The sequence below is a fragment of the Homo sapiens genome, chromosome 5 (genome assembly GCF_000001405.40).
Source record: "Homo sapiens chromosome 5, GRCh38.p14 Primary Assembly".
Classification (NCBI taxonomy): Eukaryota; Metazoa; Chordata; class Mammalia; order Primates; family Hominidae; genus Homo; species Homo sapiens.
This window is the reverse complement of record NC_000005.10, coordinates 89,313,630-89,334,389: the sequence shown is the minus strand read 5'-3', so window position 1 is coordinate 89,334,389 and position 20,760 is coordinate 89,313,630. Positions and strand designations below refer to the sequence as shown.

Below are 20,760 nucleotides of genomic sequence, written 5' to 3'. Positions count from 1 at the left end.
AACTTCCATGCTCAGAATTAATGAGTGAAGGGGAAATAATGATACCTTTTATACATACAGTGTCTGAGAGTTGTTCTGCTCATAGACTTTACTAAGTGAACTATCATATTTCACTGGATATAAGATGTCAGAAATTATATGTTACACCAATAAAAAATGCTCCTAATTAAATTATGATAGGCTGTGAATTGTATAAGTTTCATCTAAACTACAGAGATGGTAAAATATAAAAACCTGTATCTTAGAATGGATATTTTTAAATCCATGGAGAATTAAATCTCCTCCTTCTTGATGAAGTGGAGAAAATACTTCATCAAGAAGGAATGAATCCAGAAGGTAGGAATAAGATGTAAGAAACAATAACCTGACGATAGCTAATAATAATATCTATATGGCTTAAAAACAAAATTGAGCGAAAACACCAGTGAACAAAAACGTGGAACAGAGGGAAAAGATCATGTTATTGATAAAGTCTATGAACCTTCTATTGTTTGAGGGAAAGGTTAGCAATACTTTGGGCATTGCTAAATGTATTAAACCTTTGAATGGTAAACTAGACAAGAATAGCAAAAAGCATACCATATTCAAGTAGGTTGAGTAAAAATATAGAAATTGTTAACACAACAGAAAACAATAGAACATCTAGAATGATCTAGATCTACACTACAACTATACACAAATCTCAAAAGTATGATAAATAAAAAAGAAACTGCAGTGTAATACTGATAACAAATGCAAATTTTTAGAAATAACATTTAGGGTTAGGGTTAGGGTCAGGATTAGGGTTTGGGTTAGGTGTTAATATAAAAAATTTATACTTATATTATTAGCATTATACTGCAGTTTGATTTTTTCATTTTCTAATACTAAATTATACAATCTATAATATTAGAAATTTAATATATAGATAGTATACAATCTATATTAATTTTAAAATAAATATATCATATATATACATATATATATAGCTTTGTGTGTGTTTGTGTGTGTGTAGAAGACATATAAAAACACTGAACAAAAAGATATTCATCAAATCCATGACAGTGATAGCCACTGAAGATAGAAGGAGAGGGAAAACTCTAAGTTTGTAAGTTTGGAATAAAGGAGATTCAGGTCTATCTGTAATGTTCTATGATTTTTAGTTTGAAAATTTAATGAAATCCTCACAGGACGGTGGTGTTAAACTTTATATGCTGAGACCACAGAGGTTTATTAACAATTTTTCTATATTCTTCCATATTTTGAGCTTTTAACCACAACAATGACAATTATCTTCATCCCTAGACCTGATCCTCTGATTTCCTTGCCCATTTCAGGAAAATGAAAAACTATTGTTTCTCTATCCCAAACTATTCTTTCTCCATCCCATTCTAGCCCTCTTTATTTTATTTGATTTGATTTTTCTCTGCCTATAGTCTTGCTCCTCCCTCCAACAACAAAACTATTTTCCAAATTGGGGCAGGGATGACCTTTTTAAAGGGAAAACTATCTGACATGTACAACCCCAACTTAAACTTCTTTGATGCTCCTCAAGTTCTTTAGCAAAGCATGCAAGGCCTTTAGTAATCTATCCTGGAGAAACTATTAAGAATACTCCTCCTCCCTTTGTACTCCACACTTCAGCCAATCCAGACAACTTGTATGCTTTTAGAAAGGTATAGCTGCAAGTCTTTGCTGTTGTGAATAGTGCCGCAATAAACACACGTGTGCATGTGTCTTTATAGTAGAATGATTTATAATCCTCTGGGTATATACACAGTAACAGGATTGCTGGGTCAAACAGTATTTCTAGTTATAGATCCTTGAGGAATCACCACACTGTCTTCCACAATGGTTGAACTAATTTACACTCCCACCAACAGTGTAAAAGTGTTCCTATTTCTCCATATCCTCTCTGGCAACTGTTGTTTCCTGACTTTTGAATGATCACCATTCGAACTGGCATGAGATGGTATCTCATTGTGGTTTTGATTTGCATTTCTCTGATGACCAGTGATGATGAGCATTTTTTCATGTCTGTTGGCTGCATAAATGTCTTCTTTTGAGAAGTGTCTGTTCATATCCTTTGCCCACTTTTTGATGGGGTTGTTTGTTTTTTTCTTGTAAATTTGTTTAAGTTATTTGTAGATTCTGGGTATTAGTCCTTTGTCATATGCATAGATTGCAAAACTTTTCTCCCATTCTGTAGGTTGCCTGTTCACTCTGATGATAGTTTCTTTTGCTGTGCAGAAGCTCTTTAGTTTAATTAGATCCCACTTGTCAATTTTGGCTTTTGTTGCCATCGCTTTTGGTGTCTTAGACATGAAGTTTTTTCCCATGCCTACATCCTGAATAGTATTGCCCAGGTTTTCTTCTAGTGTTTCTATGGTCCTAGGTCTTATGCTTAAGTCTTTGATCCATCAATAATAGACTGGATAAAGAAAATGTGGCACATATACACCATGGCATATGATGCAGCCATAAAAAAAGATGAGTTCATGTCATTTTCAGGGACATGGATGAAGCTGGAAACCATCATCCTCAGCAAACTATTACAAGAACAGAAAACCAAACACCACATCTTTTCACTCATAAGTGGGAGTTGAACAATGAGAACACATGGACATAGGGAGGGGAACATCACACACTGGGGCCTGTCAGGGGGTTGGGGGCTAGGGGAGGGATAGTATTAGGAGAAATAACTAATGTAGTTGACGGGTTAATGGGTGCAGCAAACCACCATGGCACGTATATACCTATGTAACAAAACTGCACGTTCTGCACATGTACCCCAGATCTTAAGTTATAATAATAATAATAATAATAAAACACACAGTGAATCTGCCACCTACTTAAAAAAAGAAAAAGAAATATATAGCTGCTTCACCTCACCCTAGAGTTGTACTTCTGTCCTCCCTCTGGTCCCTTCCAGACTGGCAGACATTACTAACCTTTCAGGACCTCATTCAAATGTCACCTCCCCAGAAAAGCATCATTGCCCTCCTTCAAGGCTGTTTTAGTTGCACTTCTTATGTGTCTCCTCTTCCTTGCACTTTGAGCTGTACCACAGTATGTCAATAGTGCATGATGAAATTGCATTATTTTGTAATTCCTCTAGACTTTGTAATTCTCAATAGAATGGACTCCATAATAATGATAGGTAGCAAAACAGCTATCATTTATTGATTGTCTATTATCAGTCACGCCCTGAGCTAAATGATTTGCCAGAATGTTCTTATTGAACATACTCAGCAACATTCAGAAGAAGCCCCACTTTCCAAGTGAGCACATAAATGCTCAGAGGTCAGCTGTACAGTACGAATGTTACTACATACTCTTTGATTAACCTAAGTGATGGAGCTCAGCTTCAAATCCAGGTGTTCTAACTCCAGAAGAGTATGTGTCTTTTACTACTGTCTCCTACCACTATTTCCCAAATCCTTCTACAATAGTACCTCATACATAGCAGGCACTCAATGGACATATTTTAAAGGAATCAAATAAGGGAGCAGAGGGGAGGAAAAAGATGAAGGGGCAGAGAGGGAGATGCTGGGATGTAGGGAGGTAAGGTAAGGGGAAGAATGCCAATCAGGACACCAAAACCACTACATTTACAAACCTTATTGCAGTTTTGAGGTGCTGAGAAGGTTTTCTGGGTACATTTCCTTAATCAAATAAATAGAGTGAAATTTAAAATAAAGGTTGATCTATAAGTGTGTAAAGAGTCAAGGAATATATCATACTTGCACTCCTTGAAAAAACATACCAAGGACCAGCTAAGATATTTGCCATCTATAATCAATCAGTTTGATGAATGTCATTTATATAATTCTGGTAAGAAGATATTTTGATAGTTATTCTGCAGTTTCATCTGCTGAGAATATTTGAGGTTCTCTAAATGGTTTTAGTCCTATAAAAATGAGCAAGGTGGATGAGTAAGAGGGGAATAGAGTAGGTTGATCACTTATGTAAGATTATGAGGATCCAAATATAAATTTCTAGTGGTTTCCCATTATGGAAATAACAATTTCATTGAAATGTGAGTCAATGACTTAACCTAGAATATTATATATAACTTACTTGACTGGTGTGAGTCTTTATACTTGCAGGATCTGACTATTTGCTGAGTCAGGGGAGAAAACAGATTTTTTTTTGGTACTATTTTTAAGATTAGATAATCAGTGACAAACTCAAAGTATATAGTGGCTTTTTTTTGCTCAGTGGAATATTTGATATTAGTATTTGATTTTTAAATACAGTACATGCCTCTCTTTCGGAACAATGTAACAACAGGATCACTTGGGAATGGATTAAAAAAAAATAGCTCTCATCCCAGCTATCTCCCAAATCTTCAGCATATCAAGGATTTCACTTTCCTTAATATGGGCTTTCAAATATGGATGGCACGACATATAGACAAAAGAGTAAGTAGAGAAACTCCTAGAAGGAAATTGGAAAAGATAAATGCTGGAATTTTTCTTACTGTTATTACCCATGTGGGAGCCATAATCCTTCTGGGAGGTGACAAAAACTCACATTTGAATGTTTTTCATTTGTAGCCCACTGATTATTTACAGACTTTTTGGGGGGGAGAAGGTTTTAAAATAAAAATGTGGTCTAAAAAAGTATTCATGGAATCAGTTCTACCATTCTGCTTCATAGGGAAACACCTAAATTGTACTATTTCATATATCAGCAAATGAAACAATTATGTATCTTATTTGGGGTTGAAGAGTTAGTTTAATGCAGACAAGCACAAGTATTTCTCAAAATGTGCATAGTTATCATTGTTGATCCTAGGAATAATGCCACATTATTAAAATTTTAGCCTTTAAAAATTACCTATACATCGCCCCCCCCCCCACTTTTTTTTTTTTTAACAAAAAAAGAGGAGGCCTGAGAGCCAGAACCTGTGGCAAGAATTAGTACCTAGGTAGAATCAAATAATATTATTCTGCTTTGACAGTATTTACTTCCACTTATTTTAGTGATTCTAGTTTTTCTCTTAGAGTAGTAGCATGTGTTTTCTTATAAACAAATGTATTCAAAGTAAAAAAAGCAATTCAATTTAAAGACAATATTGGACAATTGTAGAAGTTTTTTTGGTAAAATGAAAGTCACAAGTTTGATAGAAGAATGTCTGAAATCTGGTGCAAATTGTGGATGGTGTTAAGAAAGTGATTGAAACATTAATTGAAGTAAGGATAATAGAGAATAAATTCCTTCTATATCAGCAAACTTGATATGGCTTGGATCTGTGTCTCCGCCCAAATCTCATGTCAAATTGTAATCCCCAACGTTGGAAGTGTGGCCTGGTGGGAGGTGATTGGATCATGGAGGTGGTTTCTCACGAATGGTTTAGCACCATCCCTATAGTACTGTTCTCCTGATAAAGTTCTCATGAGATCTGGTTGTTTAAAAGTGTATAGCACCGGCCGGGCACGGTGGCTCACGCCTGTAATCCCAGCACCTTGGAAGGCCGAGGCGAGCGGATCACGAGGTCAGGAGATCGAGACCATCCTGGCTAACACGGTGAAACCCGTCTCTACTAAAAATACAAAAAAAAATTAGCTGGGCGTGGTGGCGGGCTCCTGTAGTCCCAGCTACTGGGGAGGCTGAGGCAGGAGAATGGCGTGAACTCGGGAGGCGGAGCTTGCAGTGAGCCGAGATGGCACCACTGCACTCCAGCCTGGGCGACAGAGCACGACTCCGTCTCAAAAAAAAAAAAAAAAAAAAAAAAAAAAAAAGTGTGTAGCGCCTCCCGGCTCTCTCTCTTCCTCCTGCTTCGTCCACGTAAGACGTGCCTGCTGCTTCTCCTACACCTTCCGCCATGATTGTAGTTTACTGAGTCCTCCCTGAAGCTGAAGCTGCCAAGTTTCCTATACAGCCTGCAGAACTATCAATCAATTAAACCTCTTTTCTTTATAAATTACCCAGTCTCAGGTATTTCTTTATAGCAATGTGAGAATGAACTAATACAAAACTAAAGTGAAGAGTTGTGACTTATTCTTCAAACGATACCTTGAACACTCAATATTCTATGTATTTTTGTGCAGGTGTGTGTGTGTGTGTGTGTGTGTGTGTGTGTGCATTGGCTCCTAGTACTGGGCGGTTGCCTCATTTCTCCAGTTTCTTTGTGACCGACGGTGTCCTCTGCCTTATAGTAACTAAGCAGTAGAAAGTGTAAGCTAGTATATTTTACTGGGGAGATGAGCATAAACACCTTCAGAGCACATACGCAAAACCCATGAGCAGAGTCAGAGTGAGTGTCGATAAAGTGCATGAAGGAACGATTTGCAATGGAAGGAAGAACCCCCTCTTTTCCTATCTTAGAAAGGACTTTGGTACAGAGTGTAAGCTTTCATTGCTTGCTAGTTCCATTTAAAAGGCCCATATGTTTTTGGAATCTGAAACTCAAGAGTAAGGTCAAACGACATGCCATAATTAGGATGCTCATCTTTAGGAATGGAGAAGGATTTGTGTAAGTTTCGAAAAGCATTATGAATGATGAAACAACCACAAGCCTGTTAAGTTGGTTGTTACTGTAACCTTTGGACCAAGCAATTCATAACAGCCCTAGTTCAGAACCATAGCAAAATTCAGAATTATTCAAGCTCTCTACATAACAGGAACTCAGCTTGCTCCAATGATAAACAGACACATATGAAGGAAAATTCCACTGACCCTGTATTCACCTCCGCCTCAGAGGCCTAATTGCTTAAGAAGTAGTGTCAAAACAAAACATATACCTTCAGTCTCTGCAGTTTGGAAGAGCAAGGAGGTGAATGTTTTGCTTTTAAGTAAACCAGAGTATGGTTAAGGTTAAACTGTTGCAGAATGATGAGCCAAATATTGTAATGATTTACAAAGATGAATTAATATTCTTCTATATGCAGAAAACTTAAACATAAGTTGGGGGGGCAACAAATATCATTGTCTTTGTTTATCCTTAACAGTGGTTAAAAGAATCACTTCAATGGTAGTGAGATTGTGATATTGATATAAACAGAGAGAATGATTAGATAGATAAATATAGATAGTGATATAGATAGTGATATATATTGACTAGATAGAAGATAGATAGATAGACAGATGGTGGAAATGTAGAAAAGCAAACTCTTATACTTTTTTAAGGAGATTTAACAAGATATATCAAAACTTAAATTACAGATGTTTTATAACCCAATTTTCTCACTTGCAGAAATTTACTTTGTAGTACTTAATCAAGTATAGAACAATGATGTTCATTAGAGTATTGTTTATAATAACAAAAAATAAATTGGAACAACTGGATATCTATTAATATCAAGACTGGAAAAACAAGCTATGGTATAGCCATGTTCTTGAATAGTATTTAATTCTAAAAACAAACAAAAAACATTAAATATATACACAAGCACATGGGAAAAGTCCATAATATATTCCATATTGCTAACCAAGTTACAACTATGTTTAATAAATAAGCAAATAAAATATGCATTTACTCATATACATACCTATATGTCTATGTATTTATTACTATATAATGTTTATATTTTATAAATATCATCTGAAATCACGTGAAGTGTTATTTTCCAAACAATTAGCATCATTGAGGGGCCACTCTCCAGTGACTTCCTGGGAACTGCAGTCTACAGGAATGCAATAGAATTATTTGTAGCTCCTGGGAGATACTCCTGTGAACTCCTGAACAGAACTGGATAAGACTTTGACAGAGGTTAGAAATTCTACATTAGCAAAGGAGGGGGGAAAATATCCATGATTGGGGGTTGCTCCAATGTAACTATATACATTGTACAAACCCAAAGAAATGTGAGTTACAATTTCATTTTTAAAATTTTTCATTTGGTTTTTTGATACCAGAGACAGATGAAAGAAGTATATGAACAGCCCTGTACAAAAGTGAAATTTGAAGGGATACATTTACCCACAGGACACTCAAATGTTAAGACTCATGCTGATAACTGGCATTTGCATCAAGCATGATGATTTTCAAAATATGTTCACATAATAGCATCTTGCTCACAGTCAAATGTCTTGACATTAAATAATACATCCACTTCGCTAGTGTTATACCATGTTAATGCATCAATTATGAATGAAAAATTATATACAAAGGAAGAGATAAATATATATTTAATAATTTTGTCTTTGTAGTATATTAAAACAAGTTAACCAAAACAGTCTACTGCATTATGGGTTAAGATCAGAAAGGAATGCTTTCATCATATGTTAAGATTTTAAAGAGAACTAAATGAAGCAGTGTGAGGTTTCTGACAAATATGACTCTGAAAAATGCAAAACATGGTGACACAAAAGCCCTCTGAGAAAAAGCACATTTTTATCTTTCAAATGTCCATAGGTCTGAATCAATACTATCTTTTCAAGAATGAAAACAAGCGTCTGTAAGTAGGAGCTAAAAAGTAAGTACACATGGACGTAAAGATGGAAATAATAGATACTGGGGACTCCAAAAGCGGGGAGGGATGGAGGCGAGTGAGGGTTGAAAAATTAACTATGAGGTACAATGTTCACTATTTGGGTAGTGGGTACACTAATAACCCAGTCCCCACAGTATGCAATATACCCATGTAACAAATATGCACATGTACTCCCTCGATCTAAAAATTAAATTAGGCCAGGCATGATGGCTCATGCCTGTAATCCCAGCACTTTGGGAGGTCGAGACGGGCGGGTCACCTGAGGTCAGGAGTTTGAGACCAGCCTGGCCAACAAGTTGAAACCTCGTCTCTACTAAAAATACAAAAAAATAGCTGGGCGTGGTGGCGAGCACCTGTAGTCCCAGCTACTCAGGAGGCTGTGGCAGGAGAATCACTTGAACCTAGGAGGCGGAGGTTACAGTGAGCCAAGATCACACCACTGCATTCCAGTCTGGGCAACAGAGCTTGACTCTGTCTCAAATAATAATAATAATAATAATAATAATATTTTTTTAATAAAAAGGAATAAAAGCAAGTGTCATTCCAAATATGAGCCAGGAATTTTTCTGGATTGATGGGGTTAACTGTACCTTATAGAGTATGACCTTTATGCTGAGAAAATGGTAAATGAAGATCCAATAGTGTTTTTGAATTAATTTTTCATGTTTGAGTCAGATATCTGAAAACAGAAGACCTGATAAAGGAGGAAGTGGAAGGAAAGAGGAAGAGGAAAATAGGTGGGAGGTTGTTTTCAAGAATATCAAAGAACCATTTCAATGCCTATTGCAAATGTTTATTTCAAATTGAAAGTGACATAGAGAGGAAGTTTTTAAAGAATTCAGGGGAAAGAAGTGATTCAACCCATGAGTTTCCTTTGTCTACCAAATAGAATGTTTTTCTTTTTTTTGCATACAATGTTATTTTAGGAATTCTATTTCCTTTTTTAAAAACAGGAATGAAAGCAATACAATTTAGAAACTACTGACTTCTTAGTCCATAGATATTCTCTTTAGGGGAAAGAATGCTCTGTAACCAATATCCATTAAATATTTGTTACTTAAGGAAAACAGCAGTAATAACAACAAAAAAAGGAAAAACAATTGTCAATTTTAGTAGAATGCTTTCAGCAAAATGATCCTTTTCACCAAAACAGTTGATGATTTAAGTATATTCTATAACTAAACGAAGTATTTGTTCTAACCAATAATCAGAATTGAAGAAAGAAAATAAAATTAATAGAAATTTTACTCAAGCAGTTGACACAATAGTTTTATTTAGATGACCTGGTAATCTTGGTTCACCGTAATAAGAACGTGTTTTACTCTAGACAGAATTAGAGAGTGAACAGTAAAAAAAATCCTCAGAGGCAGGTGTGGTTCAAAGTGGCTGAGTCTTACAGTAATTTTCTGGAGGGTGTATATTTTGCAGAATAGTAGTAAAACAGTGTATTAAATATTATTCCTAATAGCCCTTTGGTGCTTAGAAATAGTTTCTCTAAATAGAAAATTTCTGATAATTTCCCTGTAAAAGAACTTGATCTAGCTCTCTATGATTCTATAATGTATTGCTAATGTGACTTTATTTTCAAATATGAAAACAGAGTGAGGGATATCCTTACAGCCACTTGCATTGAAAAACAAACAATATATGATCTCACTGATATGAAATCTAAAAAAGTCAATCTCATAGAAACAGATAGTTGAAAGGTGGTTACCAGAGGCTTGTTGGGAGAGGGAAGGATGGAAAAAAGAGATGTTGATCAAAGAGCACAAAGTCTCAGTTAGGCTGAAGATATAAATTTTAGTGGTCTATTGCACCTCAGGGTATCACAGTTAATAATAATGTATTATATATTCCAAAATTGCTAACAGAATAGATTTTTAACATTCTCATCACAAAAAAATGGTAAGTTGCTAAAATAATGTATATGTTAATTAGCTTGATGGAATCTTTCTATAATGTATACATAGATTATGACATTACATTGTACCCCACAAATATATACAATTATAATTTGTCCATTAAAAATAAATTACTTTTTAAAAATTGATTTTTAATTTTTGATCATTGATATTTTATTGATTCACTGATGGTCTGCTACATAATCCAAAATGCAATTGCCATGCCTTCTAAGAATTTGTATTGAGGGAATCATTTTTGTTTCAATCTCATTCAACATCTTTCATTTAAATACAGAGTAATAACAGAATCTTTTTCTTTCTTTTTTGTTTGTTTGTTTCAGATAAAATAGGGAATTATTGAAGTTGGCAAATATGATGACTGGCTTGTAAAGTGAATACACAGTTTGTCTAGAGTGCCTGGGACCTGAAACTCTCTAGTATACCTTTTCAATACCACTAATTAATGAAGAAAATGTTTCACAGATTTGTCTACATCTAAGAAAAATGCTCACAAGGCTTATAAATATCACCATACATTTCTATCATTACTTTATCAACTAATTCTCTTAAGCAAGCTCTCAAAGAGTAGCTATTGGCTTTTATAAAAGGGCTAGGTGTAAGGAAGGTGGAGATAAAAGACATAGTCTATGGTCTCAAGGAACACACAGACCAGACTGATCTGTAGCATATAATACAACATAGTGAGATGCAATATAGTGCAACAGGTAGTCTGACAGAGACATGACTGAGATATAATCAGTGCCCAGGACAGGAGCCCTTAACCCTGATGTTAGAAGTAGAAAATTCTACTTTTATTTTATTTTTCTGAGACAGTCTTTCTCTGTCACTCAGGCTGGAGTGCAGTGGCACAACTTGGCTCACTGCAACCTCCTCCTCCCAGGTTCAAGCGATTCCCCTGCCTCAACCTCCCAAGTATCTGGGATTACAGGCACCCACCACCATGCTGAGCTATTTTTTGTATTTTTAGTAGAGATGCGGTTTCCCCATGTTGGCCAGGCTGGTCTTGAACTCTTGACTTCACGTGATCCATCAGCCTTGGCCTCCCGAGTGCTGGGATTACAGGCATGAGCCACCACGCCAGGCCAGAAGTAGAAAATCATCTAGAGAAGGTTGTATTGCTTGTTTTTCTTTCAGTGAAATCTGAGCTCAATCCTGAAGATGAAATTGAAGAAAGCCAAGTAGACAAAGTGGAGATGATGTTCTTTAAGGCCTAGAAGTATGAAACTATAGGATATATCCAGGGAATTAGAAATAATTTTATTTTTAGAGAGAACATATGTAGAAACTACAACAGGTGAAACTATATTGATAGCAAAAGCCAGATTATGAAGGGCCATGTATGCTGAGCTAAGGACACTATTCTATCCTTAAAATCATGGAGAGCTATCAAAGGATTCTAGGGGGAAAACATTCACAGACGTGTACTTTGGGTAATGCACTATGACAGGCGTGGGCAGTATAGTACAAAAGCGTGTGATGAACAGCAAGAAAAGTAGTTAGGGGGCTTGTTGCAATAAACTAGATTTAACATAGACTAGCAACATTGGGAAAAGAGCAGGGGATAGATCAAGGTATTTATGGAGGCTAGGCAATAAGACTCAATAATGAACTAGAGATTGAGGGAAAACTGAGCAAAAAGAAATATTGTAACCAGATTTCTCTACTGGGAGACTGGAAGTGAGTGCTATTGCTTTGCATTCTTGAAATCATACTATTTTTGCCTTTAAAGCTACTCCTTCATCGATTTGTTCCTTTAATATCACATTCCTCTTGCCCTCATTAATGAACAACCGGAAGGATGACGTGCCATGAACTACTGTACTCCATTCCAGCTAAATATATACTATAACCAAGACTTCCCTTGTTCTTCCATTAAGGACCTTTAATTTACCTGTCATTCTTAAGTACAATAAAGAGTTTTTACTGTGAGAAAGCTCCATCAGTGACCAATTAGGTTTTATGGACCCATCACACTAATAAGATTTATTAAAGCATAATAATTGGTATAATAGAACATTAAAATATGAAAATATGTTGTGTCTTTTTGGGGAAATTCCAAAAAAACAAATATAGAGTTAACTGACTAAACTTTTTCTTCTTTATTCAGAAAACCTAAAATCTAGGACATGTTTCATATGAATTGGACATGTATCTCTGACATACTTTATAAATATTCACTATTTTACACACATATTAGTTCTCTAAGGCTATGTATCAAGAAAAATTATTCTGCTTGGTGCAAATACAAATAGGCAATATTTTCTCAATAGAACGTCACCTAATTTTTGTATTAAATTATTGTCTCCAACAGTTTCCTACTGTGTATGTTATACTGTGAAATTATATTTTTTATGTAGAATATTAGCTTAGTTTGTTAGGATATGCTTATTGTAATAGAGCTTGCTAATTTCCCACATTATCTATTCCCTGCTATTTCCTTTTGTACATAAACTCCCTGCATGGTCATCCAGCTATATTCCCTGTTACCTAGCATTGCTTTCAGCTATCTGAATCTTACGACTAAGTCATTTCAAATGGGATATAAATGGAAATAAAGATAACTTTCAGGTCTTGTCCTTAAGAATTATTAGACTCGGTCACCTCTTTTCCTCTTCCTTTTCCCATCGGTCAACAAAAGACAATAATACATCTCTGAAATACATGTAAAAGGAAAATGTTTTACAAAAGAACTGGTCAGAGTGAAGGGGCAGAGGAACAAGGGAACAGACAGATAAACCATAGCAAAATTAGTCCTGGACTAAAAAAATAATGATGATCCACATGAATGGTTCTTGTTCCCTTTCCCCTTCCCCTTCCCTCAAATTCTTACTAACTTTCAAGTTTAACAAGTAGGAATGAGTATATGGAAGATAGACTATGAAAACAATATTCTAACTGGAGCTTATGACTCCTTACTACACTGATAATGACTTATAGAGTTACCATAAGGTAACCACCCAACCTCATATGATTGATGAACCACTACGTATGTATTTATAAAAAAAACACTGAATCAATATGCCTTTCTCACATTGTAAGGAAACCTGCATACAGGGACACAGCTGGTAAGTGGCTTGGTCATTTGGAATTTCCATTCTGGAAAAAAGAAATTCTCACTCATTTGCACTTCTTGCCTCAAACCAACTAGATTTGGATTTTACACCTTAGACTATGACATCTTACTTCTAAAAACTAAAATGTAAATGTTTGGGTGGCATTACTCATCAGCTCATTTAAAAATGCATTTGAACTCATATTTATAGCATCATGCACATATAAATATCATGAAGCAAGAATAAACACTGTGCCTTAAAGTGTTTTATTCCAAGAGTCTGTGGAAACCTTTAGAAGTGGGCAATAGAAATATCACACTGCCTGATTTAATTTATGATCTACCCCTTAAGGAGTGGGCAGACCAGAAAAATTTGTGCATTTCTTGAGAAGTCAACTTCATCTGGGAACAGGACAAGGTGTGAAACTGAGAGTAAAGTCTCAAAGTAATGTGGTTAACAGTGGAATGTGAATTAGTGTAATTTAGGTTATTTTTCCCTCCGTTCACACAGCTTGCAGAGCTACCAAAAAACTCGTAATAGAATTCCCTCCAAAAATAAAGTTGATCTTCAATTCTTGGCATTTCAGAGTTGATTCCCATGATTCCAAGATGTTATATGGGTTGCAAATGCCAACAGTAGTTTTACAATAAGAGCCTAGGGACCCAGCAGAGGTTGAACTAAACTCCTAACAATTTAAACCTTGATATGTTCAGCATTTCTGCCAAACTTGAATAGAAGTATATGCCTTGAGAGATTAATGTTGACTTTAACTGTAACGACAACAAAAAACTGTAGTTGAATACAATTAAGTAACACATGGACAGTGTACTATTTACAAAGTAAAATGAGTTAAGACATCTAGATCATTTATCACAAGTTTTACTTAGATTTTTTTAATCTCATAAAGAATATGACTATTTTCTTAAAGAAAGAAGCAATGGATTTTTTTTAAATAAACTTACTTAAAGACATACCTATCAATTTGCAAATAAATATGCTAAAAGGCCCAAAGAAAATATTCTTGCACGACTTAATCAGATCTGTTTGAAATTAATGCCTTTAATTTCCCTACCAGTATTTTCATCATTCCATACTGAAATGGCTTTTTCAAAATTAATTTTCTGTTGGGTAAATTTCTTAAAATTCAGAATTTTACTGAAGTTAGAATTTTAGAATTTCATTTTTCACATTTTTTTGCAGTATAAGTGAGGTGGTAGAATAAGGATAGAAATGTAAAGGACTACTATATTTAGTAAACAACTTCTAAAAATATTACTTGTTTTTGAGAACAAATATCTTTATGAAACGTTCACCACATGAAATTGTAGGGGAGGAGTTATAGTTAGATAGAGCCATTATAAAAAGAAGTTAGGTTAGTAGTAGGTGTTTTTATTGGCCTAAAATGACTGCCTCTTACTGAGAAATGACTTAATTTCACTTGATTTGAATAAAGTATCAGGGATGAGAAACAAGTAAATCTATTTTGCTAAGAAGACTGCAGAATAAATTAATTTACCCAAAGACTGCATGATGAAAACTATTAATATTTCATCCATACTAGCACTTTTTTCCCAAGAATCTAAGAATGTTTACAGTAACTATCTTTACTTAGAAACCTTTTTATCTAGATGGCAGGAACTTAGCCCAAATTAACTATAACATTATTTATATCTCTTGTTTCAAATTATTAATATTTTAATACTGAATTATCCTTTGTTGGTAGACAACAAAAGACAGAAAAGAAAAATATGTGTTTTTATTGTATAATCTGAAATAGGCAAATTTAGTCTTATTTGGATTTTTTGGAAGCCTACTGACTTATAGATATCAATTTCAAGAATAAAATATTCTTAGAATATGGAATGTATCATGCAAATCATTCAGTCCCATAAACCAGGGATTAAAAATATTAGGAACATCCCACATTTTTCTCTTAATGAGTAAATATTTTGACATGGCTCTAAAACCTTCCCTGCTTGGTAAATGAGTTTTATAATATAATATGGATATGTGATACTACAAGCTTCCTGGTCCTACCTCTATTTATAGCAGTGGTTCTAAAACTTTGCTGTACATTAAGAGTCACCTGCAGGTATTTCAATAATACAATTACCTTGAGACTGGAGACGTATTTACTGCCACATATTTTAACAGTCTCTTACTGGTTAAAATACATATTTCAGTTCCCATATCAACACCTGACAATGGTCTATTCTACCCATATATTATGTTAAATTGGCCCACCTAAAATCAAACTCTTCTTCCCTATGAAAAAGCTTCTACTCCTGTTCTTATTCTACTGCTATTACCACCTATTTTCTACTTTTTCTGAGCAAGAATTACCCAAGTCATCTTTGACTCCAGAGTCATTTTCATTCACCTTATTACACAGTAATTTACAAAAGCCCATAAATTTTAATTTGCATGCTCTATAGAATGTTTCCTCCTTTCCATTCCAATTTTTATTGCTTTAGGTTAGGATCCTAAAGCCATCAATACTAAAGTTACCAATACTTTTCTAACTTCTGTCTTTGCCTCCAATATCTTTCATTTTAAAGACATTGATACCAAATTAATTTTCCTTAACTATAATTTTCATCATACCATTTTGTGCATTTGATAACTTGGAGACATTCTAGCCTTGAATTTGAGTTTTCCTAACTTTGTGACATTGGATATGTAGCATCAGTCTTTGGCCTCAGTTTCAAGTACAAAAATGCAAGTGTTGGACTAGACAATTGCAAAGTCCACTCTAACATACTGGTTTCAGATAAAAAGATCCTAAAAGCTTCCTGGTCTTGCCACTATTTATAGCAGTAGCTCTGCAACTTAGCTGTACATTAAGAGTCACCTGGCCGGGCACGGTGGCTCATGGCCTGTAAACCCAGCACTTTGGGAGGCCAAGGCGGGCGGATCACGAGGTCAGGAGATCAAGACCATCTTAGCTAACACGGTGAAACCGCGTCTCTACTAAAAATACAAAAAATTAACCGGGCATGGTGGCGGGCGCGCCTGTAGTCCCAGCTACTCGGGATGCTGAGGCAGGAGAATGGCGTGAATCGGCAAGGCAGAGCTTGCAGTGAGCCAAGATCGCGCCTCTGCACGCCAGCCTGGGCGACAGAGCGAGATTCCACCTCTAAAAAAAAAAAAAAAAAAAAAAAAAAAAAAAAAGAAACAAAGAGTCATCTGCTATACGTAATTTTCCATTTATCCTATCCCATAAATGTTTACTCCTTCTCTGTGCTGTTCTATGCCCCTGGAGGATAACTTCTACACAGTATGCCATTGTGCTCCCTTGCTCACTGGCTTCTCCTCAGATTTGTCCCATGGAAGGCATGTACAAAAGACAGGCGGGTGGGAGAAGGGAAGTCGGGGTATTTTCTCCCGAATTTTTTTCCTGTTTGGGAATCACATCTCTGGCAGCAGTTTTGTCCCACTCTGACTCTAGGTCAGGAAGCCTAATGGATTTCAGATGTTACTAATCTTCTGTCTACTTTCTCTTTAATATTAGGTTTGTTGCATTAACCTTGCTCACACTTTTGCATTTAATCCCTTAATGAAAGTCGCTTCATTTCAGTCACTTGTTGGGACTCTGACTAATACATCTAAAGAGATATTTTTGAAATACCAATGCTCAGACCTCACTCCAGGTTAGTAGAATTGAAACTTTGGATGTGGAGCCCAAGTAGAAGTATTTCATAAAAATTCCTCCTGGTAAATTATAGATAAAGTCCAAACACTTTGTATTATCATTCAAGGCCATATGTAATCTGAAACCAAATAATCTTATCAGTCAAGCAAATATGATTAAAAAAAGAAACCTCTCAGAACAAAATTTGGCTACTTAATAATTTTGCTAATAAAGTAATGTAAAGAAACGTGAGAAACTTAAACAAGTATAAATAAATAACAAAGTATTTTAATGACAAAGTATAAATAAATGACAAAGCACTACTTATATGGTACAAAACAAAGGCCTCCCAATGGGAGTAACAACTTAAATGAGAAGGATTATTAAGACAAAATCTTCTGGAAAGAGGTGCTTTAGTGTTAATGAAATATACTAAAAAGGAGAGGGCTTTACTGTTCACAATAGCAAAGATCTCTCCTTTTTAATATATTTCATTAACACTAAACCACCCCTTTCCAGAAGATTTTGTCTTAATAATCCTTCTCATTTTAGGTTATTGCTCCCTTTGGGGTGGCACATATACACCATGGAATACTATACAGCCATAAAAAGGATGAGTTCATGTCCTTCACAGGGACATGGATGAAGCAGGAAACCATCATTCTCAGCAAACTGACACAAGAACAGAAAACCAAACACTGCATGTTCTCACTCATAAGTGGAAGTTGAACACTGAGAACACATGGACACAGGGATGGGAACTTCACACACTGGGTCTTGTTGGGGAGTGGGGAGCTGGAAGAGGGATAGCATTAGGAGAAATACCTAATGTAGATGACAGGTTGATGGGTGCAGCAAACCACCATGGCACGCATATACCTATGTAACAAACCCACACGTTCTGCACATGTATCTGAGAACTTAAAGTTTAATAATAATTTTTTTAAAGACTATCCAAAAAAGAGAGATCTTTCAAAGAATCATATACTTCTTAGGTATCTCTTATACTCTGAAATGCAAAGGATCTAAAAACATCATGTATACAATTTTCCTGTGAGGTATCTTTCTCTTATTATTTGATCAGTTATCAAGAAGTCTCACATTTGACTGTTTCATATTCTTTCACTTGCATTGATCACCATTCGTGATCACCTCCAGAGCTGAAAGGATCCTCCCCTCTCAGCTTCCCAAGTAGCTATAGCTGGGACTACAATCATGCACCACCATGCCCAGCTTTTTTTTTTTTTTTTTTTTTTTTTTTTTTGTACAGATGAGGTATCATTATGTTGCCCAGGCTGGTCGTGAACTCCTGGATTCAAGCAATCCCACCAGGTGTGAGCCACTGTGCACGGCCCATATTGACTTCTTACCATCAGTATCCAAAGGTGAGTCAGCCAGTGACTTCGAAATAAGTAAAACATACTTTGATGACTTTGGTTCATCTAGTTTTAGCCAGATTGTGGGGGCGGGGGCGGGAACTGTTCTCTGGCCAATTAGTTCCAAGGTCCAGATTATTTAGTGTTTATGTAAGGTTATGTCCTATGGAAACATACTTCTTCATGCCACACTTACTGTTTAATACACATGAAGATTACAAAACCATGTAAATGAGCAGTGAAAGAAGAAAAGCCCTTCTCAGTCAGTCAGAAGATATGTTTATACTACAATCAAGAAACAAGAGCAGCCTTAGAATGAGACAAAATCTCGGCAGGTATTGTGGGCTTGGAAGGGATTGTGTGACTATGTCATTAGAAAACCATATAATATTTTTTCACTCTCTGAATCCTTTAACAGAAAAATGACTTTTGGCAGAAGGAAGAAGAGTATGTCTTCTAAACACTAAAAATTTCTCTCAGAGGCCTTTCCAAGATGTTTTGGATGGCTCTCTGCCTCTCACTCTCTGGCAGCCCGCTCTCCCATCAGTGTTTGCTGAAGGTCAATAAACCCTGCGCAGGCGGGTGCTGTGGAGTGCATGTGTGAGAAAACCTGCTGTTGTTGCGGTAAATGCAGTGTCCACAAATTCATTAGGAATGCATTTGTTCCTGGAAGTGCTAGCTATTCCGGTAACTGGCTGTCGCCAATGTTTTTAACCATATTCTCCACTTTTATGCAGACATTACAGGGCAGAAAACCAGGCTTCTGTTCTCACTGCCTGCATCAATTTGTAATTTGTTACTTGATCGGCTCGTTTTACCTTTCGTCTAGTATAAAAGGGCAGTCTGGGACACTATAGTTATGTCTGGGGCCTCCTTATTAGACTTGATGTTGAAAAGGGGCTCTCTGGGTTAAGAGAATCTCTGAATCTACTTATTCAGCTCTAAAGAAAATATTGGGCATCAGGAAAAACTGAAAAATTATAGGCAGTGTGAAAATTAGAGGAAAATAACTTCTACCTCCCAGATTTTCTCATGCACAACAATAGAAAATATATATATATATTATGATTCCATTGAAATGTTAAGATTTATTTTATTAAGCGTTCTTTCTTCTCTTTGAGACAATATCCCCATTTTTTCTGAGCAACACTTTCGTAAGCTAGCCCTTCTGAATGTCAATAATACTAATATACTTGGAGTTTATAAGAAAAAATTGTAAAAGGCAAAAAAGAAGCTGTGTGCTGAAATGGCCAGGGTTTTATAAGCTTACACACCAAACAAAACATTGCCACTTTTAACGTGACCCGACTGCCAATCTGAGAGAAGAAAACACTAAACAAAAATGGAATCACTGCCTTCTTCTCTGAAGACAATTCTGGTCTGGTTTTCTTGAAGTAATGTCACCTTAAGGGGGTGACAACATTGAACTTCCTGTGATAACGGTAGCTGACACACAAGGCTTCATCTTACTTGTAGCTGGCATGTTAGAACTGGTGAGAAGTGCGAGGCCCTTCCCTCACAAATGGAACACATCTGTCCAGGAAATACACTTCACTGTGCCAAAATGCTTTTAGTGTATCTGCCCCCTGAGTGCCCTATCAAGCTACAATTCCCTGTCAGCAAGTACCTTGTAATTCCTTTCCTTTTATGTTGATGAAAGTCTTGATCTATTATGCCAATACTGCATAGTTTCCACAGTCTCCCAGAAACTATTACTCAGTAATGTGCATAGGGGATGGGGCTCTGTTACTTAGACAACCCACCTCAGCTAAGAACATCAGCCCTTGAAGAAAAACAGTAGCTAGTCAGACTGCCATACAGCTCACGTTGCACTTTGTGGGTGGAAAGAGGAAGAAAAGACCAATGGTGAGATTAGACACTAGAGAAGATAATGCACTACCTTCAGTAGGAGCCAAAAGGGGTGAGTCAAGTAAGGATTTGACTTGCTATGTTCTTCAGCCTAATGGGTTCTGACCATATCCAGTGAGCTAGGGTTAGGATGAGTCATAACTGGAAGTCCCCCTGGTTCTAATTATAGTGGCAGTAACAACAGAGCCTCAGAATGAAGCCTGAGCAGCCTCTACCCCCATTCTTGAGAAAAGGATAGGAGCCCAGGTGGTCACTATGTGTTCAGTTACACAGGCATTCTGAAGTGCATTATATTCAGTCTCTCTGAAGAGCAAACTGAATTCTAGAGTTCAAGAGCGTTTGGTTTAGCACAATAAGAGAAGATTTATAAGAAGAGTCTAAGGTTAGAGCAATTCTAAGTTCACTAAGACCATAGAATCAGACAAAATGAACTAGATTCAGGTGTGTAGTAAGCTGAAAATTATTTAACCCACTACAGTTGATTTCTTT

The 20,760-nt window shown here is 36.0% G+C and overlaps 1 long non-coding RNA gene across 6 annotated transcripts in view, besides 1 other annotated feature; it reads right to left on the bottom strand.

Moving 5' to 3' along the window:
- Positions 1-20,760, bottom strand: part of MEF2C-AS1 (MEF2C antisense RNA 1) — a 584,252-nt gene that overhangs the window by 133,192 nt on the left and 430,300 nt on the right. The window lies entirely within an intron of this gene.
- Positions 20,242-20,691: an enhancer, noted in NCBI's record as "active region_22772". NCBI's record gives its function as "activates an Ori minimal core promoter by ATAC-STARR-seq in GM12878 lymphoblastoid cells {active_cell/tissue: GM12878}" and the evidence as "EXISTENCE:reporter gene assay evidence [ECO:0000049][PMID:35858748]".